This window comes from Homo sapiens, chromosome 17, assembly GCF_000001405.40.
Source record: "Homo sapiens chromosome 17, GRCh38.p14 Primary Assembly".
Classification (NCBI taxonomy): Eukaryota; Metazoa; Chordata; class Mammalia; order Primates; family Hominidae; genus Homo; species Homo sapiens.
The window spans coordinates 42,874,674-42,899,695 of record NC_000017.11 but is presented as its reverse complement, the minus strand read 5'-3'; the positions used below and the strand labels follow the sequence as shown (position 1 = coordinate 42,899,695).

At 48.5% G+C, this 25,022-nt stretch overlaps 1 long non-coding RNA gene and 1 pseudogene across 1 annotated transcript, besides 3 other annotated features; both read left to right on the top strand.

Annotated features, from left to right (window-relative positions):
• Positions 962-25,022, top strand: LINC00671 (long intergenic non-protein coding RNA 671). The gene is made up of 6 exons (NR_027254.1): positions 962-1,063; positions 5,062-5,130; positions 15,010-15,101; positions 19,878-21,169; positions 21,623-21,721; positions 24,833-25,022. It is a non-coding gene; the product is annotated as a long intergenic non-protein coding RNA 671 (long non-coding RNA).
• Positions 5,128-5,272: an enhancer, noted in NCBI's record as "145 bp enhancer 258 fragment used in the MPRA reporter construct; PK_construct_284". NCBI's record gives its function as "activates an SV40 promoter by MPRA in HepG2 cells {active_cell/tissue: HepG2}" and the evidence as "EXISTENCE:reporter gene assay evidence [ECO:0000049][PMID:23512712]".
• Positions 5,193-5,206: a transcriptional cis regulatory region, noted in NCBI's record as "HNF1 motif; enhancer activity is reduced when this motif is scrambled". NCBI's record gives its function as "necessary for full MPRA enhancer 258 activity {active_cell/tissue: HepG2}" and the evidence as "EXISTENCE:site-directed mutagenesis evidence [ECO:0005528][PMID:23512712]".
• Positions 8,261-8,358, top strand: RNU6-287P (RNA, U6 small nuclear 287, pseudogene; annotated as a pseudogene).
• Positions 21,367-21,896: an enhancer, noted in NCBI's record as "H3K4me1 hESC enhancer chr17:41029817-41030346 (GRCh37/hg19 assembly coordinates)". NCBI's record gives its function as "activates a minimal SCP1, AML or CMV promoter by ChIP-STARR-seq in primed H9 embryonic stem cells {active_cell/tissue: H9 hESC(primed)}" and the evidence as "EXISTENCE:reporter gene assay evidence [ECO:0000049][PMID:30033119]".

Below are 25,022 nucleotides of genomic sequence, written 5' to 3'. Positions count from 1 at the left end.
TCCCACCTCAGCCTCCTGAGTAGCTGGGACCACAGGCACACGCCACCATGCCTGGCTAATTTTTCTATCTTTTGTAGAGATGGGGTTTTTCCATGTTGCCCAGGCTGGTCTTGAATTCCTGAGCTCAAGAGATCTGCCAGTCTTGGCTTCCCAAAGCTCTGGGATTACAGGTGTGAACCACCATGCCTGGCCAAGTGTTTTAACTCATACGTTTAAGCAAAATAATGAATGTATAGTCTTACTGTGCAACAATATGATGAATGTATGGTTCCAAATAAGAATACCAGCAAAATGGTAACTGGAGACTTAAAGAGTTTGAAACTTTCAGTTATTTTTGAAAAAGGGCTTCTATATCTTGAGCTTTCTTATACATATGTGTGTAGATATACAAAAGAAAGCTCAAGATACACTGTGTGTGTGTATATGTGTGTGTGTGTGTGTGTGTATACTATATATCAGCCTACAAATAGTAGAGAGACCAAAACCCTAACACTTGGGTCACGGAGGACTGTGAAAGGAACCAGGGAATGAATCAGGTAACGAACTCATGCATTTTAAAAAATAGGGCTATTTAATCATGCTTCATATCACTATTATTTATTATTTATTTATTTATTTTTGTAGAAACGGGGTCTCACTATGCGGCCCAGGCTGGTCTCAAATTCCTGGCTTCAAGTGATCCTCCCGCCTCAACCTAGCAAAGCATTGGGATTACAGGCATGAGCCACTGCCTCCAAATTCATGCATTTTTTGAGGATAAGAGCCAGGGGGAATAAAATGTTTAAAAACTTGCCTGAATTTCCCATCATTAAGTCCATATTGACATGTAAGGGGTAGCTGGGGACAGAAAAAAGAAACTCAGAGCTAATGAATCTGTGGCAAAAGTTGACAGCATTCCATGCTGGAAATGATTAAAACATCCTCCAGGAGGTATGACCTGGAGTCTCCTCCCCACCCCACCAAGGGCTCGCACCCAGCCCATGCTGACTCCAGTTGTCCTTGACTGCATGGTTTCTGCTGGTCCAAGCAAACTTCTCCTGCCACGCCTAACCTTGGAGAGCAGGTAATGTGTTGGTGACTGTGGGTGGGTGTAAAGTAAGCCCATGCGTGGCAGGCAGTGCTGGGGCGTGGGGTATATGTGATCTGCACTGTCAGGGCTGCTGGGCCATAGGTAGGGAGCCTCCCTCTACCCAGATAAGCCTCTGTTGTGGAGTAACTATTGCAGTGACCTCTGGGATGAGAGTTTCTATGGTCAGAGGTGAGTCAAGGTGAGTCTAAAAACATATACAAAGGCCACTGTCTGGGTCATGCCAGGGCAGCTAGCAGCCAGGGTCTCTGAGTTGGGAGGGGTTCTATTATGTGGTCAGCATATGGGGAGGGCCCTGTTTTCTGAGACGCCTCAGGAAGAATACCCCTATGGATAAGGAGTTGATAAGTGATGGAGTTGACATCCCACTCTGGGCATCCAGGGACAGTGGGAGTCTTCCTGGCGGTGGGCCACCAGGCAGGGGGACCCTCTGGATCAGAGCAACCTCATAGTCATGAGACGATGAGCTGGTCCTCATCTTTCCACCTGCCAGCCCCTTTCTGCTTCCTCCAGCACGTTTTTATCCGTGGGAAAACAGGTGAGGCCCCAGCTTGTTAGAAAGCTGACTGCATCGAGACACCGTGGATTCTCAAAGGTCTTGTGGATATATGAGGCGAGTGGCTAGAAGTTTTGCTGAGAATCCACTCATTTATCTGTTTATTTGAGACGGGGTCTCACTCTGTTACCCAGGCTGGAGTGCGGTGGCACCATCACAGCTCACTGCAGCCTCAGTCTCCTGGGCTTAAGGGATCGTTTTGCATCAGTCTCTGGGTAGCTGGGCCTACAGGCGCACACCACCAAACCCAGCTAACTTTTTATTTTTTGTGGAGATGGGGGTCTCTCTACATTGCCCAGACTGGTCTCAAACTCCCGGCATCAGGTGGTCCTCCTGCCTTGGCCTCCCAAAATGCTGGGATTACAGGTATGAGCAACAGTGCCCTGCAGAATCCACTAATTTAAAGAACTATCTCCAGAGAGGGGTTCCCGCCATCTCCTTCTAACTCTTTGTTATTTTCCCTTTTCAAGAAGTGCTCCGGTTTAATTCAACCAACATTTCCTGAGCAAAGCACCATGCCTGGCTCTCTGAGGAATTAAAAGTTAAAAGCCAGGCTGGGCATGGTGGCTCACGCCTGTAATCCCAGCACTTTGGGAGGCTGAGGAGGGTGGATCACCTGAGGTCAGGAGTTTAAGACCAGCCTGGCCAATATAGCAAAACCCCATCTCTACTAAAAATATAAAAATTAGCCGGGTATGATGAGGGGCACCTGTAGTCTCAGCTACTCGGGAGGCTGAAGCAGGAGAATCACTTAAACCCGGGAGGTGGAGGTTGCAGTGAGTGGAGATCCTGACACTGCACTCCAGCCTCAGTGACAGAGCGAGACTGTCTCAAAAAAAAAAAAAAAAAAAAAAGTTAAATCCCAGGTGTCCTCCAGGACCTTGGTGGTCTAGTGGGACAGGGTGACCTGACATTTACAAAACTATGTAAACTGGAGGATCCTTATGTGAGTGACTACCTACAAGTTCGCTGAAAAGTCACTGACATAAGGCAGATTAATTAATATGAGAAAAAGATTACAAATGTATTTAACATGTATACATGGGAGGCTTAAGAATGAAGATCCAACTTCCCAGTGAGGTATGGAAGCTCATCCACCATCTTGAGGTTGCAGAAAGAATGGGTGGCTTGGATCCTGTTAAAAACAGGTTATGGGAAGGAGGAGAAGAGGAATTCTGTCGAAGGGCAGAGGGAGAATGATTGGATCGAGGAACAGAAATTAACTTGTAAATAGTTCTCCCTGGATTTTAAATGGTCCTCAGAGACAGTCATTGTCTTGAAAAAGGGTCTGTTGAGACTTTTTTATGGTTACATTTTTGGTCTTCTTTTCTGTGATGGATAATGGGATAAAGGAAGGAGAAGAACAATTGTTCTTTTGTGTCAGTCCTTTTTTTTTTTTTTTTTTGAGACGGAGTATCACTCTTGTTGCCCAGGCTGGAGTGCAATGCGATGATCTTGGCTCACTGCAACCTCTGCCTCCTGAGATCCACCGATTCCTGTGCCTCAGCCCCCCAAGTAGCTGGGATTACAGGCATGTGCCACCAGGCCCGATTAATTTTTGTATTTTTAGTAGAGATGGGGTTTTGCCATGTTGGGCCAGGCTGGTCTCGAACTCCTGACCTCAGGTGATCCACCCGCCTCGGCCTCCCAAAGTGCTGAGATTACAAGCATGAGCCACCATGCCCGGCCAGTCCTATCTTTATAGGTGAAAGATAGGGGAAAAAATCTCTTCCAGGCTCCCAAGGGTGAAAAAACCTCTCAAGGGTTTTTTATTTAAAATAGTCACGGCCTGGTGCGATGGCTCACACCTGTAAACCCAGCACTTTGAGAGGCTGAGGTTGGTGGATCACTTGAGCTTAGGAGTTTGAGACCAGCCTAGCCAACATGGTGAAACCCCATCTCTACAAAAAATACAAAAATTGGCCAGGTGCAGTGGCTCACGCCTGTAATCCAAGCATTTTGGGAGGCTGAGGTGGGTGGATCACCCAAGGTCAAGAGTTCAAGACCAGCCTGACCAACATGGTGAAACCCCATCTCTACTAAAAATACAAAAATTAGCCAGGTGTAGTGGTGGGCGCCTGTAATCCCAGCTACTCAGGAGGCTGAGGCAAGAGAATCCCTCGAACCCAGGAGGTGGAAGTTGCAGCGAGCCGAGATCACACCATTACACTCCAGCCTGGGTGACAGAAAGAGACCCTATTTCAAAAAAAAAAAAAAAAATAGCCCAGTGAGGTGGCTGGCACCTGTAATTGCAGCTACTCGGGAGGCTGAAGTGGGAGGATCACTTGAACCCGGGAGGTACAGTGAGTCGTGATCGTGCCACTGCACTCCTGCTGGGCAACAGAGCGAGACCCTGTCTCAAACGAACAAAAAAAGTACTTATTATATTGGGAGCCATAGTTTGGGATGAAATATTTTGATTTCCTTTGTAGAAATATCAGTGAGTTCCCTATTATTTTGTCCTCGGTAGAGAAGATTCGTTAACACCCTCTAGGGAAATGGCCAGCTGAGTTGGGGAAGGAATGAGGATGGAAAATCATTTGGGCTCCTCTTTGGTAGGTACCCAAGCAAGCCACTCCTCAGGCATTTTCCCCACAACTAGAAATCCAGAGGCTTTGGATCTTGAGAAGAACATGAAGGAAAGATGCCAGGAAGTACAGTCTGGTCTGCTGATGAGTAAGTGCAGCTGGGCCCAGGGCCCTGGCACATTCTCCCAGGGCAAGGTTGACTCATTCACTCGAACAAGTTTATTTGCAGACGAGAAAGCAAAGAGGGAAAAGGAGCTGTAACTTACCACACACCTCATCCAAAAATTGCATTTACTACCAAAAAGAAAGTCTGATTTTACCTGAAGCTGTATCTTCTATTCTGGGTGGGGGCTCTGGATTCTGTTGAGAGAGGAGCCACCTTTCCTTTACTCAGTTATCATCCTACAATAGGTTTGTTTTGTTTTGTTTTGTTTTGTTTTGTTTTTGAGATGGGTCTCACTCTGTTGCCCAGGCTGGAGTGCACTGTTCCCATCAATGCTCACTGCAGCCTCGACCTCCTGGGTCCCAAGCAATCCTCCCAGCTCAGCCTCTCCAGTACCTGGGACTACAGGCCGGTGCTACCACACCCGGCGAATTTTTTGTATTTTTTGTAGAAACAGGGTCTCACTTTGTTGCCCAGGCTGGTCTGTAACTCCTGGGCTCAAGTGTCCTCCTCTGTCAGCCTCCCAAAGTGTTGGGATTATAGGTGTGAGCCACTGTGCCTGACCTAGAATGGGTGTTTTCTACATACTATAGATGGGATTCGAAACCTAGCTCCAGTTCACAGCTTCGTCCGAGCAGCAGGGCTACAGCCCAAAGTGCAAAATGTACAGTTTTATTTTTGTTTTTAATTACTTTTCTTTTGTATGCTTTTTTTTTTCCCTACCAAGTGATCAATGGAGGAAGTGTTTCATGGTGGACATGGGAAACTGGCCAGATCAACTGCTGTCACCTTCTAAGTGAGTGACCCAGTTTATGTTTTAGAAAAACATGTTGAGAAAAACAGGTGGAGGGAGAGGCGGGTTAATCATTGTTCGCCAGTGCAAAGGGCTGGCTTCTCTCTGGCACAGTGAGAAAGTTCAGCTTTAGGACCTTGAACTGAGCAGGTAGGGGAAGCGTGGAGCGTGTCTCAGGATGGGCTGCACATTTTGTGCACAGAAGAAAACCTGAAGTCATTTGCCGCATTGTAAACATCTCAGAACTCCCCACTAGATACCTTCCTCCTGCCATCCCAGGGCCTGCCTTCTTCCAAAATCAAATGAGTCACCAGAACCTTTATGGGAAGCACGAACTGCCCTTCCTCTTCTTCACCTCGCTCTTCCTTAGCCCCCTTCCCAAAAGAAGCTGTTGTTCCCTCCAGGAAGTAACCTGTTTCCACGAACATTTAACTAGTTCCCTCACAAACAGATGGTAGACTTTTCTGGTTTTGTTTTGTTTTTTGTTTTTTGTTTTTGTTTTTGAGACAGAGTCTTGCTCTGTTGCCCAGGCTGGAGTGCGGTGGCGTGATCTCAGCTCAATGCAACCTCTGCTTCCCAGGCTCAAGCTATTCTCCTGCCTCAGCCTCCCGAGTAACTGAAATTACAGGCGCGTGCCACCACGCCCTGCTAATTTTTTGTATTTTTAGTAGAGACGGGGTTTCACCATGCTGGCCAGGCTGGTCTCAAACTCCTGACCTCAAGTGATCTGCCTGCCTCAGCCTCCCAAAGTGCTGGGATTACAGGCTTGAGCCACCGCGCCCAACCTCTTCTCCCATTCTTAATCAACCCTTTGCAGTGCCAAACCACCTTTGCAGTTAGAAAACATTTTTGCTGTCAAATTTCATCCGTCCTGCCAGGAGTTAAACTTTGTTGATGGCGCACTACAGAGGCAGAGGCAAGGGAAGGAAGTTAAGAAACATTCTTGCTGTCAAATTTCATCCTTCCTGCCAGGAGTTAAACTTGCTGATGGTGCACTAGAGAGGCAGAGGCAAGGGAAGGAAACCTGCAAAAGTGTGGCCAGGACTATTTTTAAAAGGCTTTCTTTCCCCTTGGTCCTGGTCTGTATCCCAGAGGCAAAGAAGGGCTATTTGAGGAGAGAAGGGAAGTGTGACTTGAGCTAAGCCCAAACCGCTGTCCCTCCTTGCTTCAACTCAAGGATTCTTTGGAATAATTGAGACCGACTAAAGAAGGAGGGAAAGAAACCAAGTCATCAATTGCCCAGCTGTTGCTCAGCCTGGTTGTGGACGGGAGAGAGGTGGGGGCTGGTGGGTAGGAGGTGGGCAGGGGGCAGAAAGTGCTCCTTCCTTTTCCTTAGCAGACTCTCAGAAACACTCTCAAGCCTCCAGCAGGCAGCCCAGGAAACTGTACCCCCGCCATGGGCATCACCGGATTTTAAAAAAGAAATAAAATTTAACAACTGTGCAACCTTGGCCAAATCACTGGAGTCTCTGGGGTTTGCTTTTGTCAACTGTAAAATGAGACCCAGGGACCCTCACCCTCTTTTCAGCTTTGATATTCTGAGTAGTGGCAGTCCTTTGAACGTAGTTCCAATGAAGTGGTGCCTGGCTTTGAATTATCTAACAGAAGTAAATGATTAATGATTGCCAGAACAAAAAGATAAATGTGTTCATATTTTAAAAATTATTATTATTATTATTATTTTGAGACAGGGTCTCCCTCTGTCGCCCAGGCTTGAGTGCAGTGGTGCGATCTCTGCTTACTGCAACTTCCGGCTCCTGGGTTCAAGCAACTCTCCTGCTTCAGCCTCCCGAGTAGTTAGGATTACAGGCACGCGCCACCACGCCCGGCTAACTTTTTGCATTTTTAGTAGAGATGGGGTTTCACCATGTTGCCCAGGTTGTTTTTGAACTCCTGAGCTCAGATGATCCATCCATCTCGGCCTCCCAAAGTGCTGGGATTACAGGTGTGAGTCACTATGCTTGGCCTTTTTTTTTTTTTTTTTTTTTGAGACAGGGTCTCACTCTGTTACCCAGGCTGGAGTACAGGGGCACAATCTTGGCTCATTGGAACCTCCTCCTCCCGGGTTCAAGTGATTCTTGTGCCTCAGCCACTTGAGTAGCCAGGACTACAGGCACAGGCCACCAGGGCCTGACTAATTTTTGTTTTTTTTTCAGTAGAGATGGGGTTTCACCACATTGGCCAGGCTAGTCTCGAACTCCCAAACTCAGGCGATCTACCCGCCTCGGCCTCCCAAAGTTCTGGGATTACAGGAGTGAGCCTAAAATATTTTCAAAAGTAATACACTCACATTATTAAAAAAATTCAGAGTTCAAAAGAGTATTCTGTGAAGCCAGTCTTCCCCTACCTCTGAATACCTTTTAAACACCAGGGCAGCCAGAACCCAGCCTGATTTGAGGGGCACCATGAGTCAGAGAAGCCCCCATAATTCTCTAGTGAAAGCTCCTCACACAGAACCTGTCGCAATCCAGATGGGGTCATCCCTTCTACCCTCTTTCATTCCCACGTTTTCCTCCCCACCGGCTCTGGCCATGCAGTCCTTTAATCAACTCTTTCTTTAAAAGCAGGGGAAATTCCATCCCAACCAAAACGCCCGTGTTGTACAGTCAGTTATTCGTCCTCCCCTCTTCCAGAGCCAGCTGGGACAGATAATTAGGAAATTAGTAGTCTTGGACCCTTTAACCCACACCTTACCCCCTCTGAGAGTTCTCAAATGAGGACCTTGACTCAGAGAAGGGAAGAGGTGAGGCCCAGAATTGTCATGAAAATAAACAGTGAGGCTCCTAGGTCCCCAGGCCTGGGGGTGGCTATAGAGCTATTCTGAGCTGTGAAAACACAGCAGTACTCTACTAGCAGTAAACAGCCGCCTGTCCCGCCAGCGCCTGTCTGCCTGGTGGTGCCTGATCTCCAGCCAGCAGGCCAGAGAGACAGGGAGAGGAGCAGGGAGAGTCTAGCGTGCCTCTCTTCTTTAGGGTGGAAGGGAACAGCAGTGTTTATTTTTAACATTTCATTCACTCTAGTGGGTGTGAAGTGGAAAGAGAGGGTCATGTAAGTCTAGGGGTTCTCTCCAACTTCGAATCCCAGAAAGCAGGATGCCTGTTGCTCCCTCCTCAAAGCCTGGGGACTTCAGTCATCGCTTTGGCAGCACATATACTAAAATTGCAGTGGTACAGGGAAGATTAGTGTGGGCCCTGCACAAGTCGTGAAATTCGTGAAGCATTCCATACAAAATTTAAATTAAAATAAATAAAATATAAAAAATAAAGCTTGGACCAGCCTCAGTTACATGGCAAAACCCCACCTCTACAAAAAGAAAAAAAAAAAAGAAAAAAGAAACCCACAAAAATTAAACCCACAAAAAACCCCCTAAAAAAAATTAGCTGGGTGTGGTTGTATGTGCCTGTAGTCCCAGCTACTTGAGAGGCTGAGGTGGGAGAACCACTTGAGCCAGGAGGCAGAGGTTGCAATGAGCTGAGATCCCACCACTGCACTCTAGCCTGGGTGACAGAGTGAGACAAACTAACAAATAAAAATAAAGCCTGGGGGCCAGGTGCAGTGGCTCGCGCCTCTAATCCTAGCAGTTTGGGAGGCCGAGGTGGGCGGATCACGAGGTCAGGAGACGGAGGCCATCCTGGCCAACATGGTGAAACCCCGTCTCTACTAAAAATGCAAAAATTAGCTGGGTATGGTGGCATGCCCTGTAGTCCCAGCTACTCAAGAGGCTGAGGCAAGAGAATACCTTGAACCCAGAAAGCGGAGGTTGCAGTAAGCCGAGATCACACCACTGCACTCCAGCCTGGGGACAGAGTGAGACTCTGTCTCAAAAAAATAAAATAAAATAAAATAAAAAAAGAAACCCTGGGCACTTTGGGAGGCCGAGGCGGGTGGATCATGAGGTCAGGAGATCAAGACCATCCTGGCTAACACGGTGAAACCCCGTCTCTACTAAAAACACAAAAAATTAGCTGGGCATGGTGGCGGGCGCCTGTAGTCCCAGCTACTAGGGAGGCTGAGGCAGGAGATTGGCGTGAACCCAGGAGGCAGAGCTTGCAGTGAGCCAAAATCGCACCACTGCACTCCAGCCTGGGCGACAGAGCGAGACTCCGTCTCAAAAAAAAAAAAAGAAAAAAAGAAAAGAAAGCCTGGGGACTTCAGCCTCCTCTGCTCTCCTAGGAAGTCACCTGTGACCTCCTCATTGTCAAATCAGCTGGTTGGCCTCTACTCATCTTTCTTCTTCCTTAATCATTTGGCCACATCTAATACTTGACTGTTAAGCACCTTGAAACACTGTGTTCAGTGTTGCTTTGACAAAGTCTCCTCTCCTTTCTCTTCCTCCTCCTTCCTTAGCATGACGTTAGACCTTGGTTGGACACCACCTGGATGTCCCATACAGTCCCCACATCCATAGGGTCCCTTCACACCTGTTGTTGCTCAGACTCCCCTGCTTTGTAAATGAATCTCCTGCTCTCTGCCATCCTCTGGGCAGTGAGCCTGGCAACTTCGGAGCCAACCTTGACACCTCTTCATGTCACATTTGCAGTCACTCATCAGGATCTGTCCAGATACTTTCTACTCGTGCTGCCCCGGGCCAACCCCATTGCCTAGGCCCGCCCCCTCCCCGCCGCCCGCCCACAGTCCCTTCATTACCTGTGATCACCTCTCCTCTTCTTGCTCCCCACCCCAAGCCATCCTATAGAATACAGGCCAAGGAGTCTTCTTACAATACAGTTCTTTTCACTTGTCACCTGAAAAATATTCAGTGGCTCCCCATTGCCTACAGAATGAAGTTCAAACTGAAGTTCAAACACAAGCTCACCTGCATTGGACCCCAGCTTATCTTTCTAGTTTTATGCTGTGCAGTTCCCCTTGATGGCCACACACCAGATATATTAGATAAGTTTGGATTTCCCAAACATGCCTTGGTTTTTCCAACTTTGCTTTTTCCTCCACCTGGAATATCATTTTCCCCATGTCTGTATGACCAGATTCTAACCACACTTCAAGGTCAAGAAAATAAAGCCTTCTCAACCCATTGACCTCCACCCCTCATTAGCTGCAAAAGATCTGTCTGGTTTGAACTCCTACGTTGGGGCACTTATCGCATTCAGACCTTGCATCATAATGGTTTTGCTTGCATCTTAACCTGCTATCCTGAGCCCCGAGGGCCAAGAAAGCATTCCTTCCAGCCTCCAGAACTGAGCTCTGCTTACATGTCTGGTGCCCAGTATAGTACACTGTTCGCACGGCTGTGAAAATGCTCCCATCCCTGACGTGTGCTCTTTTGCATTGTGACTTTGCCTCTCTTCCCATCAAGATGTAAATGTCTTCATCCTTTGAATCTGGGCTTGATCTTGTGACTTGCCTTGGCTAATGGGACATTAACAAATGTGATATAAGTAGGCCAGGTGTGGTGGCCCACACCCATAATCCCAGCACTTTGGGGAGGCCGAGGCGGGCAGATCACTTGAGGTCAGGAGTTCAAGACCAGCCTGGCCAACATGGTGAAACCCTGTCTCTACTAAAAATACGAAAATTAGCCGGCTCTGGTGGCGGGGACCTGCAGTCCCAGCTACTCAAGAGGCTGAGGGAGGAGAATTGCTTGAACCTGGGAGGCGGAGATTGCCGTGGGCTGAGATCGCGCCACTGCACTCCAGCCTGGGTGACAGAGTGAGACTGTCTCAGAAAAACAAACAAACAACAAAAAACAAATGTGATCTAAGCAAAAGCTTGAAAAGCCAGGGCTTACCCTCTTTGGGCTACAATTGGAACCCCAGCTCACAAGGGGGAGAAGTCCGGGCAGCCTCCTGGAGACAGGTTACTACAACATGGGGCCTGTCTGACAGCCACCCCCAGTCACCAGCGCTGAGAGTGAGGCCGCCTTAGACCACCCAGCCCCAGTCCATGTGAGTGATCCATGGAGCAATCCCAGGAGAATCTGGCAGAACTGCCCAACAGAGCCTGAGCCAGGTTGCTGACCTACAGAACTGTGAGCAAGGTATTGGTTTGTTGTTTTAAGCCACTATGTTTTCGGGTGGTTTCCTTTTTCTTTCCTTCTATTTTTTTTTTTTAGAGACAGTGTTTTGCTCTGCTGCCTAGGCCAGAGTGCAATGGTGCAATCCATCATAGCTCACTGCAGCCCTGAATTCCTGAGCTCAAGAGATCATCCTGCCTCAGCCTCCCAAGTAGCCAGGACTACAAGTGCTTGCTACCACACCCGGCTAACTTAACAAAATTTCTTTGGTAGAAACAGGGTCTTACTGGAGTGTCCATGCTGGTCTTGAACTCCTGGGCTCAAGGAATCCTCCTGCATCGGCCTCCCAAAGTATGGGGATTATAGATGTGAGCTACCGTGGTTTCCTTACACAGTCACTTCAATACCTCATAGATGCTACTTAATAAAATATTAAATAATAGCTCACATTCATTGAGCATTTACTATAAGCTAGGGACTTGTTCTGAAAAATTACATGGGCCAGACACGGTGGCTCACGCCTGTAATCCCAGCACTTTGGGAGGCCAAGGCGGGCGGATCATGAGGTCAGGAGATTGAGACCATCCTGGCTAACATGGTGAAACCCCGTCTCTACTAAAAATACAAAAAATTAGCCAGGTGTGGTGGTGGGCGCCTGTAGTCCCAGCTACTCCGGAGGCTGAGGCAGAAGAATGGCATGAACCTGGGAAGCAGAGCTTGCAGTGAGCCGAGATCATGCCACTGCACTCAAGCCTGGGTGACAGAACGAGACTCCATTTCAAAAAAAAAAAAAAAGAAAAATTACATGGATTTACTAATTTAATTTTCATAAAAATCCTGAGGTAGATTTTATTACTGTTCCCCTTTTACAAGTGAGGAAAGTGAAGTCCAGAGAAGTTAAATAACTTGTTCAAGGTCACATGTGTCACATGTGCTGGATCCAAACCCCAGGAACCTAGTTCCAGAAGCCACACTGTAAACCACTATACCGCATTGCCTCTGCTTACGCAGATTGAGGAGAACATGACTGATTTGCAGCCCCCAAAACACCCATCTTCACCCACATGTCAAATTCTATATTATTTTGTGGTCCAATTTCTAGCCTATGCTTTTTTTTTTTTTTTTTTTGAGACAGCGTTTTCCTCTTGTTGCCCAGGCTGGAGTGCAATGGCGCGATCTTGGCTCACTGCAGACTCCGCCTCTCAGGTTCAAGTGATTCTCCTGGCTCAGCCTCCCGAGTAGCTGGGATTACAGGCATGTGCCACCATGCCCAGCTAATTTTTTTTTATATTTTTAGTAGAGATGGGTTTCACCATGTTGTCCAGGCTGGTCTTGACCTCCTGACCTCAGGTGATCCACCTGCCTCGGCCTCCCAAAGTGCTGGGATTACAGGCACGATCCGCTGTGCCTGGCCTAGCCTATGCTTCTAATCTTCCCACACCCTGCCCTCTCAGGTCTACCTCCAGGCTCTGGGCTACTCCTGGCCTGTTTCAGTGACAGCCCATTGTGGGGCATCGATTTATAGATCTGCCAGCAACCGCCTGTCCAGAAACCCTTTGGCTCCATCTCCCTCTTCCTGCTGCCTCTGCTGCATTGCTGGTCCAGCGGTGCAGGTCTCATCTGGAAAGCAAACGCCTGGGCTCAGCGTGTCAGTGCTGACCGACCTTTGGCCCTGTGTCCTGGCTTGACCCGTGCAGCCAGGGTGATTTTTCACTTAGGATCTTTGGATGTCCTTAGAGCTTCTCTTTTGAAGTAGTCCAATGAGCAAATGGATATGATGTGGCTTTTAAAGAGAAAAACATGACTCATGTATAACAATGTTTACTATTTATTCAAATTTCAAAGATGTATTTAAGCATCCACACACGGGCACAACACCATGCTGGGCACCAGGCCACCAAAGCCAGGTTCAGTGTGGGGAGTGAGGGGAGGACACACGTGGTCAAGGAACTAGAGTTCAGTTTGTGAACCTCCATGGCAGAGTTCTGTCCAAAGTACTATGGGAGCAGAGACAACAAAGTAAATAATGTTGTTCAGGGAAAGGTCGAGAGAGTGGGATTCGAGTTGGGTTTTAGACAGTGAATAAGCTGTCACTAGATGGAGAAGGAAGAGGAAAGAGGAAGGAAGCAGAGGAAGGAAGGGAGGGAGGAGTCGGAACACATGGGCAGAGGCTTAGTGGGTGGGAATAGGCTGTTTGAAGGAGGACACACGTCTGGGGTGTCTGGGGTGTAAGCATCACGATGACTGCGGTGTAGGGACTGAACCCAGGTATGTGAATGACCTAATATTCCCTGCAGAGAGTGAGAAGCTCTGTGGATTTATAAGAGGGATATTGGCCAGGGAAAAACTATAGGAGGGGGCCAGGCATAGTTGCTCACACCTATAAACCCAGTGCTTTCAGAGGCCAAGGCAGGAAGATCCATTGAGCTCAAGGTTCAAGACCAGCCTGGGCAACATAAGGAGACTCTGTCTCTACAAAATATTTAAAAATTATCTGGGTATGGTGGTGCACACTTGTAATCCCAGTGACTCAGGAGGCTGAGGCAGGAGGATTGCTTGGGCCTGGGAGGCTGAGGCTGCAGTGAGCTGTGATCGCACCACTGCACTCCAGCCTGAGTGATGGAGCGAGACCCTGTTGAAAAAAAAAAAAAAAGCCAGTGGTGGTGGCATGCGTTTATAGTCCCAGCTACTCAGGAGGCTGAGTTGGGAGGATCACTTGAGCCCAGGAGGTTTAGGCTGCAGTGAGCCAAGATTGAACCACTGCACTCCAGTCTGGGTGACACAGAAACACCTTGTCTCAGAAAACAAACAGGCTGGGCACAGTGGCTCAAGCCTGTAATCCCAGCACTTTGGGAGGCTAAGGTGGGTAGATCACCTGGGGTCAGGAGTTCGAGACCAGCCTGAACAACATGGTGAAACCCCATCTCCATTAAAAATACAAAAATTAGCTGAGCGTGGTGGCGGGCGCCTGTAATCCCAGCTACTCAATAAGCTGAGGCAGGAGAATCACTTCAACCTGGAGGCGGAGGTTGCAGTGAACCAAGATCGCGCCACTGCATTCCAGCCTGGGTGACAGAGTGAGACTCTGTCTCAAAAACAAAAACAAAAACAAAACAAAACAACAACAAAAACAAAACAATACAAAAAGCCAAAACTATAGGAGAGGAGGGAAGGAGGCGAGGAATTTGCTGACATGGAGTCTCTGCTCTGAAAGTTAGACGTGAAGTCCGTGGCTAGGCTGGTTGCATCAGATGAGGCTGGCTGACATCTCCCAAGATATCTCAAGATGGTTTATTGGTGAATTCACCCCACTCCAAGGGAGAAGCCTGAATCAGAAACCAGATTCCTCAGCTCACCAATGGGAATTGTCTTTCAGGGAAGGTCTATATATACCAAAATTACACCTGAAGGTCAATCTGTTGATTTACTGTAACTGTCAAAGCAAAAGTAATTCTTATTAGAATGTCAATTAGTTCATTTACAAAAAGAGATGTAAGTGATGTGTCCATTTTCTTCCCATCACCATGATGTGGTGGGAAGCTGGCCTGTCGAGCTGGGAATCAGAACCAGCAGTTGGTCACAATATAGCTTCAATAAGGCCCGATGACTCCATGTGCATGGCTAAAGTGCCTCTAGGACAGGACGTGTCCTGGCCCTGGCCAGGTCCTCTGCTCCAAATGTGGCTGATTGTCACTGTCAGGGCAGGCTCTGTGATGCTCTCTTTCTGAGGGAGACGGGGTCTTCTCACTCTGTCGCCCAGGCTGTAGTGCAGTGGCATGATCTTGGCTAACTGCAGCCTCTGCCTCCCAGGCTCAAATGATCCTCCCACCTCAGCCTCCCTAGTAGCTGGGACCACAGGTGCATGTCACCATCCTGGCTAATTTTTTTTTTTTTTTTTGGTATTTTTGTAGAGAGAGGGTTTTGCCATGTTGCCAGGCTGGTCTCGAACTCCTGGACTCAAGTGATCTGCCTGCCTCAGCCTCCCAAAGTGCTGGAATTATAGGTGAGACACTGTGCCTGGCCCCTTTCTGCACCTTCTGATGGACACATTCTTTATGTCTTAGACTCTCTAGTCAGCTTCCTCTTGGGAGGCTTGGAACTGAACTACCATCTCCAGAGTTCTCCCAACCTTGGCTACACAGTAGAATCACCCGGGGAAATTTAAAAGCCAGTCATGTCTGTGGTTTGCCCCCAGAGGCTCTGATCATATCAGGCTGAGGCGCAGTCCGAGTATGTGGAGTTTTACAAGCTTCCCAGGTGATTTCAATGTGCAGTCAAGGTTGAGCACCTTTGTGAAAAGCAGCTCTGCATATTTCTGCCCTTGTCATTTGAGTGATGACTTTGCTCTGAGAGGGTCACTTAATATGGATCAGGTGCCAAGGGTTTCTCAAGCATTACCTTGTTTCATTCTTTTTTTTTTTCTTACAATATTCAGATGAGTCTGATACCTTGTTTAATTCTTCAAACAGGCCTACCAGGCAGTGGAAAAAGAGCCACGGCCCAGGGAAGGCCGTGAGGTGTAATTCTGCAAAGATCTGGGTTCACTCCCAGCCCCACCTTTTACCAGCCAGATGACTGTGGGCATGTTTCCTAATCTCTCTGAATTGTAGTTTCTGCATCTGTGAAATGGGTGTAATTAACATCTGCCTTTCAAGGTTGTTATGCGGATTAAGTGAAACAAAGATGGAAATTATCTGGCCCAGAGTATTCTGTCCTGTACTGGCTTTTCCTTCTCAATAGGAGAATTGGGAGTGACAGACATCACATTCCTTGGAGGTCCTCGAGAAAGGGAGAATTCCCCATCATATTCTGACCCGGAGATGTAAAGTTAAGAGGCATAAGGGGCTGGGTACTGTGGCTCATGCTTGTAATCCTAGCACTTTGGGAGGCCAAGGCAGATGGAATGCCTGAGCTCAGGAGTTTGAGACCAGCCTGGGCAACATGGCGAAACCCCATTTCTACTAAAAATACAAAAATTTGCTGGGGATGGTGGTGCGTGCCTGTAGTCCCAGCCATTTGGGAGGCTGAGGCTCAAGAATCGCTTAAGCCCGGGAAGCAGAGGTTGCAATGAGCCGAGATCATGGCACTTGCACTCCAACCTGGGCAACAGAGCAAAACTCCGTCTCAAAAAAAAAAAAAGTGGTATAAGAGACATGCAGCATGGAGGTGTTTGAGACCCGGGCCCTACTGAGAATGCTACAGCCTCTTTCCCTTCATATGATGAGGTTTCTGTGGCAGCTACAGGGAAGCTGGGGCCAGAGGGTCTGAGAGAAGAAGCAACAGCCTCTGAGAGGGAGATGAGGGGCAGATGGAGGGCCTCGGGCCAGCTCCCACTTCCAAGAACCATCAGAGAGGTTTTCTTGTTCCAGCAGCATCTCCCCTGGGCCAAGCCAGTCGGGGGGCCATGTCTGTCTGTCTGGGACCCACTGTCTCCCCCGCCAGCACCTAGCACAGTACCTAGTGGACAAATTCTATTTTTATTTTTTTTTGAGACGGAATTTTGCTCTTGTTGCCCAGGCTGGAGTACAATGGTGCAATCTCAGCTCACTGCAACCTCTGCCTCCTGGGTTCAAGCGATTCTCCTGCCTCAGCCTCCCGAGTAGCTGGGATTACAGGCACCTGCTACCACGGTCAGCTAATTTTTTGTATTTTTAATAGAGACAGGGTTTCATCATGTTGGCCAGGCAGGTCTCGAACTGCTGACCTCAGGTGATCCACCCACGTCGGCCTCCCAAAGTGCTGGGATTACAGTTGTGAGCCACTGCGCCCGGCCCCTAGTGGACAAATTCTACCACTGATGTCAAAGAAAATTAAACTGCAGCCTCAGCACTGCTGCAGGCAGCCCCGAATGTTTCCTCTTGAGCCTCCAGAGTGCATCTGCCCCAGACACTCATTTGCCATCTGACCAAGGAAGGCAAGAGGGTGATGGGGACACTTTTCTAGGCCAGAATATGGAGAGAGCATCTGGACGTCAAAGTCTTATGTCTTTTTTTTTTTAGACAAGGCTGGGGTACTCTGTCCTTCAGGCTGGGGTACGGTGGTATAATAATAGCTCACTGCAGCCTCGGACTCCTGGGCTTGTCACTTGATCCTCCTATCTCAAGCTTCCCAAGTAGCTAGAACTATAAGCATGTGCCACCACGGTCGGCTAATTTTAATAATTTTTTGTAGAGACAGAATCTCACTCTGTTGCTCAGGCTGACCTTGAACTCCTGGCCTCAAGCGATCCTCCTGCCCCAGCCTCCCAAAGCGCTGGGATTACAGGCACGAGTCACCCTGCCTGGCTAGGATTCCAGTGTCTTCAGATAGTTCCTTTGATGCGTAACAGGTAGGCTGTGGTTGGACCTTCCAGTGTCAGAGAAATCTACCAAGGCCTAAAAAGCTTTTGAGTGATTTAAATACATTATCACTTTCCAGATGAAGAAATGGGTTCAGATGGGGTGCTTACTCACGGCCACAGAAACCCTAAGGATGAGCCCAGCTGACTCCCTGAATCCCTTTTAGCTCTGAGCCTGTGAGTTGGCCATGTAAAAGCCATTGTCCAAAGCCAAGATCCAACTGGGTCATTCTTCCACTTGATAGCAAATTGGAACCAACCCAATTGCCCAATGGGGAATGATTTGTTTACTATCGACTTGATAGAGTACCTCTTATCCTTTAAAAACCATCCATTTGGCTGGGTGCAGTGGCTCATGCCTGTAATCCTAGCACTTTGAGAGGCCTAGGCGAGTGGATTACCTGAGGTCAGGAGTTTGAGACAACCTGGCCAACATGACAAAACCCTGTCTCTACTAAAAATACAGAAATTAGCCAGGCGCGATGGCGGGTGCCTGTAATCCCAGCTACTCAGGAGGCTGAGGCAGGAGAATCGCTTGAACCCAGGAGGCTGAGTTTGCAGTGAGCGGAGATCGTGCCACTGCACTCCAGCCTGGGCAACAGAGCGAGACTTCATCTCAAAAAAAAAAATCCATTTGAGTATTACATGACAACCTGTAAAGATGCTTATGATTAATATTAAATGGAAAAAGTAGAATACAAAAGTGTATTTAGACTGTGCTTACCTAACTAGGTAAACGCATGAGTGCATAGAGACAAGAACTGCAGTTTCACTTAGGTGAATGACAACGGGATGTTGGAAGGAGATTTGGGTGTCTTTAAATTATTGTCACATTGTTTTTCATGCAGCTTAAAGGTCTGGATCATCACTGCTTACAGATGAAGTACACACTGCCTCGCATGGCCTCCAAGGCTCTGCTCACCCCACCCCCAATCAGCCTTTGCCATTCTGCCACCCTCACCCCATGCTCCAACCATTGGGGCATTCACAGAACCACGAGCCTTCGTGCCTCTGTCACTGCCAGAACACTGTATTCCGCAGTCCACTACTTGACTAAATTCAGCTCATTCACCACTTCAAATGTCACTCCCCAACTCCCAACAAAAAAGATACAGAAGAAACTCACCATATTATTTGACTTCAGGGAGGAACTATTATCAGATGTGGGATGGAGACATAAACCCTTTTCTGAAATACAATTTTATTGAGCTATAAGTCACATACTGTATCATTCGCCCATTTAAAGTACATAATTCAATGGTTTCCATGGTGTTTGGTACATTCACAGAATTATGCAACCATGACCAGACACAAGTTCTTTTGTGCCTTTAGGATTTCGAACATGTGAATGTATTACTAATTGAATTAAATAAATGAATCCAATTAAACACACATAACCATCACTTCCTCTCTGAAGTCCTCCCAGACTCCCACCAGGGATAGATGGCTCCTCATTCTGTGCCCCACTTGTCTGTCATAGCTCTTTTTTTTTTGACAGAGTTTCACTCTTGTTGCCCAGGCTGGAGTGCAATGGCACGATCTCGGCTCATCACAACGTCCACATCCTGGGTTCAAGTGATTCTCCTGCCTCAGCCTCCCAAGTAGCTGGGATTACAGGCATGCACCACCACGCCTGGCTAATTTTGTATTTTTAGTAGAGACAGGGTTTCTCCATATTGGCCAGGCTGGTCTCAAACTCCTGACCTCATGTGATCCACCCGCCTTGGCCTCCCAAAGTGCTGAAATTATAGGTGTGAGCCACTGTGCCCGGCCAGTGTTTTTGTTTATAAAAAGACCTCTCCGCAGCCCAGACTCTGAGCTCTTTGAAGGCAAGTATGAAGAGAGTCATTTTTCTGTACCAATGCAAGTCTGGCATTCAGGAAGAGTCCCAGAAACGTTCGATGAGTGAATGAAGTTTTCTTTGCATCCGTGTAGATGGGGCATGGTAGGAGAGGCCAGAGGATGACCCAGCCCTCCTCACTTTGATCCTCATCTCCACTCCAACTCCACCTTCCCCCTTCCTCATCTTGTTCCTTATCCTGTCCCCTCCCCATCACCAACCTCCCCCCTATTCCCTCTCCACCCCCTCTCATTTCCATCCTGCTCCATCCCCACCCCCACTCTGTTCTCCAAATCCATTCCCATTTTGACCTCCATCCATCTTTATTTCTTGAATAGACCCAGTTTTCTGAAATGCAAAGATGTATTGCTGGCCTCTTAGAAATAGCAGTGGGAGCTCTGTGGGCTCAGAGACACCCTCTTCTCCTGAGTGTTCCTCCCTCCACCATGACATCACTATGAAGGCAATTTTATTTACCACAACAAATATTACTATAGAATTAACAGGGGCCCAACACATGGCAGGGACTGGAAAATACTTGCTGAATGAGTAAAGGACTTGTGAGTCTCTGGGGCAGCTGAATGAGACTGTTTCCATCACAGGACCCAGACGGGGAGGAGGAATGCCAGAGAAGCTGCAGACTCTCCGGCCACGGAGCCTGAGTGGAGCAGAGGTGGCCCACTGTCAGCCACAGGTCAAGTGTCAGGGTGGGGACGGGGCAGGCTCCACCAGAAGGCGGGGGCAGGCTCCACCAGAAGGCGGGGCCAGACCACAGGGCAAGGTGGAGATGAGTCTGTGGCACCCCCAGGAAGTTTACCAGATTTGCCCCAGAGCTTCTGACCCTTTGGATCTCTCTGGGCTGCATTCTTCAGGGTCCCATTGCTTCTTTCTTGAAGGTGGAAGGAAATGTTCCCATCAGAGCCTTCCAACAGGCCACCTTGGGGGCTTCTCCTGAGAGCTCCTTGTGCACACACCCCTTCAGGGTGGCTTGGGTTGCGCCCTCAGACCCCAGTGGGGGGCCGTATGGCATCCTCCTTGGTCAGCAAGTGAGCCACAGCAGCAGGCCCCTCACAGACCTCAGCCTGGGGCCACAGGTCCCTTCTCCCCATCTCCGCATCTGGAGAAGCAACCTGTGGAGCAGCCAAGAGTGGCAGCCCTGGCTCTCTACAGCATTCATTTTCAGGGCAAGACAGAGCATTTCCACTATTATGCTCCCCCCCCCGGCCTTTTTTTTTTTTTTTTGAGACAGGGTCTCACTCTGTTGCCCAGGCTGGAGTGCGGTGGCGCAATCATGGCTCACTGCAGCCTCGACCTTCTGGGGTCAAGTGATCCTCCCAATTCAGCCTCCAAATTTCTTTAAACAAAAAAAAATGCAAGAAAGGCAAAACAAGATATTTATCTGGGCTGAGAGGGTAAAGAGAAGCTCTATCTTTGAGCTGAGACACAAAATGGAAAGAAGAGGCAGCAGCAGCGGCAGTAGCAGTTCTGCCTTTCCAAACCTTCCCTATCTAAGTGCTTTCAAGATATGCTGAAAGTCATGAATTGAAGTGTGGTTCCCACGGCTTTAGTCCTTGTATGAAGGTCCTTTTGCTAGAACTTACTTCCTTTCCAGCCCATATGGTTGACCTGGGGGTCCAGGCAGTTCTCAAGGGAACCACAGGATTCCATGTGATCTGGGATCCCAGTTGATGATCCCTCTTCTGGTCACAAGCTGAATTGGACCCAAATCTGCACCCTAAACTCCCCTCTTGCCAGATCCTGCCCAGTCAGTGCCGTCCCCTCAGACTGGGTGGGCAGCCTGGGCTTCCTGCTGAGACGGGACCCCCCCCTCTCTTCTTGATCTCACTCCCAGGAAAGACACTGAAGGAGCAGAGGTGTGGACGCCACATACTGGGTAAGTTTCTCTTGCCTTGACACACCTGAGAAAGCTTGGTGTTTGAGCCCTACCTCCCCCTTACCTTACTCCCACTCCCAAATCCCCTCCTGGAAATTGTCCCGGTTCTTATTTATGCCTATACAAAGTCCACAGCCCATGACGGGCAGCCCTGGAGGCTGTTGCCCTGACCTGGCCTCTGGTCCCCCGCTGGGAGGCACGTGGCTCATTTGCATGCCAACTCCTGATGGGCCAGCTCCCCACCTGGCTGCCCGAGCTCCTGAGACTTTTTTTTTTTTTTTTTTGAGACGGAGCCTCACTCTGTTGCCCAGGCTGGAGTGCAGTGGTGCGATCTCGGCTGACTGCAACCTCCGCCTCCCAGGCTCAAGAAATTCTCCTGCCTCAGCCTCCTGAGTAGCTGGGATTGCAGGCACGCACCACCACGCCCGGCTAATTTTTGTATTTTTGCTACAGACGGGGTTTCACCATCTGCTGGGACGGGACACCCTCTCTTCTTGATCTCACTCCCAGAAAAGACACTGAAGGAGCAGAGGTGTGGACGCCTCATACTGCGTAAGTTTCTCTTGCCTTGACACACCTGAGAAAGCTTGGTGTTTGAGCCCTACCTCCTCCCCACCTTACTCCCACCCCCAAATCCCTTCCTGGGAATTGTCCCGGTTCTTATTTATGCCAATCCAAAGTCCAAAGTCCACAGCCCATGAGGGGCAGCCCTGGTCCGGCTGGTCTTGAACTCCCGACCTCGTGATCTGCCCACCTCAGCCTCCCAAAGTGCTGGGAATACAGGTGTGAGCCACTGCACCTGGCCACTCCTGAGGCTTTTTAGTGCCTACCCTCAGTGACTTTCTGGTCACCTATGCTGACTGCTGCAGAGTAACAGAGGCTACTGTCACCAGGGCCCTGGGACCAGATGACCCTTCATCTTTTTCATCCTTCCACCCACAAAACCCCTGGGCTGCTGCTGACACTTGACCATCCTTCCCCCTCACAAATGCATATTCCGCATGGCCTGTGTAAATGGCAGGAACTTGTAAGAGGATTATTAGTATAGGCAGATGACAAGATGACAGGAGAAACATTTTTTTATGACAATGAAATGCAGAGAGGCAAGATGAAGAAAGCTGTTCAGAGACATAGGTCCCCCAGAAGGAGATAACCAAGCATTGTCCTTCTTCAAACAAGACAGTACCTGCAGATCCAAGGCTAACCCAGCCCAGGGGCAGAGGAGGACACCAGAAGTAAGGAATGCAGGAAGGAACTACAAGACCTGAGGCAGCAGGGACGCTCCCACAGGACCTCCGCTACAAACAGCAGGGAACAGGCCAGGCGCAGGGGCTCACACCTGTAATCCCAGCACGTTGAGAGGCCGAGGCCGGAGGATCACTTGAGGTCAGGAGTTTGAGACCAGCCTGGCCAAATGGCGAAACCCTGTCTGTACCAAAAAATACAAAAATTAGCCTGACGTGGTGGCGCACGCCTGTAGTCCCAGCTACTTGGGAGGCTGAGGCTGGAGAATCACTTGAACCTGGGAGGTGGAAGTTGCAGTGAGCCGGGATCACACCACTGCACTTCAGCCTGGGTGACAGAGAGAGACTCCATCTCAAACAAAAACCAAAAAACAAAAACCAGCAGGGAATAGAAGCTGAAGTAGCAGGAAAACCGAGAGGAGGAGGACTTTGTCAGCATGAGAGGGAACAGACAGAGAGAAGGACCTGCTATTCAAGGCCCAAAACTGAGATGCACATCTACTGGGGAACCTGCTCTGGGGCTTTGGGAGAACAGTCTGGTCTCTAGAGGCTCCCTATTCACCTTTAAGACCCAGGGCAGTCCAGGCATGGTGGCTCACGCCTGTAATCCCAGCACTTTGGGAAGCCAAGACAGGTGGATCACTTGAGGTCAGGAGTTCGAGACCAGCCTGGCCAACATGATGAAACTCTGTCTCCCCTAAAAATACAAAAATTAGCCAGGCGTGGTGGCGGGCACCTGTAATCCCAGCTACCTGGGAGGCTGAGGCAGGAGAATCGCCTGAACCTGAGTGGCAGAGATTGCAGTGAGCCGAGATCATGCCACTGCACTCCAGCCTGAGCAACAAGAGTGAGAATCTATCTTAAAAAACAAAAAACAAACAAACAAACAAAACAGGACAGAGGAGAGCTAAGGTGGCCCAAAAGAGCTTCCAAATTTACTGAATGCCACTAAACTCTCACTTAAAAATGGTTAAAGTGGCCAATTTTTTTTTTTTTTTTTTGAGACTGGGTTTTGCTATTTTTGCCCAGGCTGGAGTGCAATGGTGCAATCTGGGCTCACTGCAACCTCTGCCTCTCGGGTTCAAGTGATTCTCCTGCCTTAGCCTCCCAAGTAGCTGGGATTACAGGCGCATGCCACCGTACCCAGCTAATTTTGTATTTTTAGTAGAGATGGGGTTTCACCACATTGGCCAGGCTGGTCTCGATCTCCCAACCTCAGTTGATCCGCCTGCCTCAGCCTCCCAAAGTGCTGGGATTACAGGTGTGGGCCACTCGCCTGGGCCAAGGTGGCAAATTTTATGTTACATATATTTTATACAATTTTAAAAGAAGGAAAAAAGTATAGTCACTTTGGAAAACAATCTGGCAGTTTCCCAAAAGGCTAAACATAGAATTACCGCATAACCCAGAAATTCTACTCCTAGGCATATACCCAAGAGAAGTGAAAACACATATCCACAAGAAAACTTGTGCATGAATGTTTATAACAGCATTATCTATAATGACCAAAAAAGTGGAAACAACTCAAATACCCACCAACGGATGAATGGATAATCACAATGAGATATATTGATACAATGAGATATCATTTAACCATGAAGAAGTGAGGCACTGACATACACTACAACATGGATGTATCTCACAAACATTACGCTAAGTGAAAGAAGCCAATCACAGAAGACAACGTATTGTTTGAATCTTTTCATGCCAGAATACAGGCAAGCCCAGTGGGACAGAAAGTAGGGAAGTGGTTATCTAGAAATGGAGAGGGATTGGGGGGAAATAGAAAGTGACTGCTAACACATACAGGGTTTCCTTCTGGGGTGATAAAAAATGTTCTGGAATTAGTGGCAATGGTTGCAAAACTTTGTGGGTATACTAAAAAACATGAAATTGGGCCAGGCACAGTGGCTCATGCCTGTAATCCCAGCACTTTGGGAGGCCGAGTCAGGTGGATCACCTGAGGTCAGGAGATTGAGACCAGCCTGGCCAACATGGTGAAACCCCATCTCTACTAAAAATACAAAAGAAAAAACAAAAAATTAGCCAGGCGTGGTGGTGGGCACCTGTAATCTTAGCTACTCGGGAGGCTGAGGCAGGAGAATCACTTGAACTGAGGAGGCAGATGTTGCAGTAAGCTGAGAACGCACCCTTGCACTCCAGCCTAGGCAACAAGAGCGAAACTCTGTCTCAGGAAAAAAAAAAATCATGACATTGTATATTTAGTTTTATTTTATTTTATTTTATTTTGAGATGAAGTCTCACTCTCTCGCCCAGGCTGGAGTGCAGTGGCGCGATCTCGGCTCACTGCAAGCTCTGCCTCCTGGGTTCACGCCATTCTCCTGCCTCAGCTTCCCAGGTAGCTGGGACTAAAGGCGCCCACCACCACACCTGGCTAATTTTGTTTTTGTATTTTTAGTAGAGACGGGGTTTCACCGTGTTAGCCAGGATGGTCTCAATCTCCTGAAGTCGTGATCCACCCGCCTTGGCCTCCCAAAGTGCTGGGATTACAGGCGTGAGCCACTGCACCCGGCTGAAATTGTATACTTTAAAGGGATGAATTTTATGGTATGTGAATTATGTCTCATTAAAAAAAACAAACTGTTAAG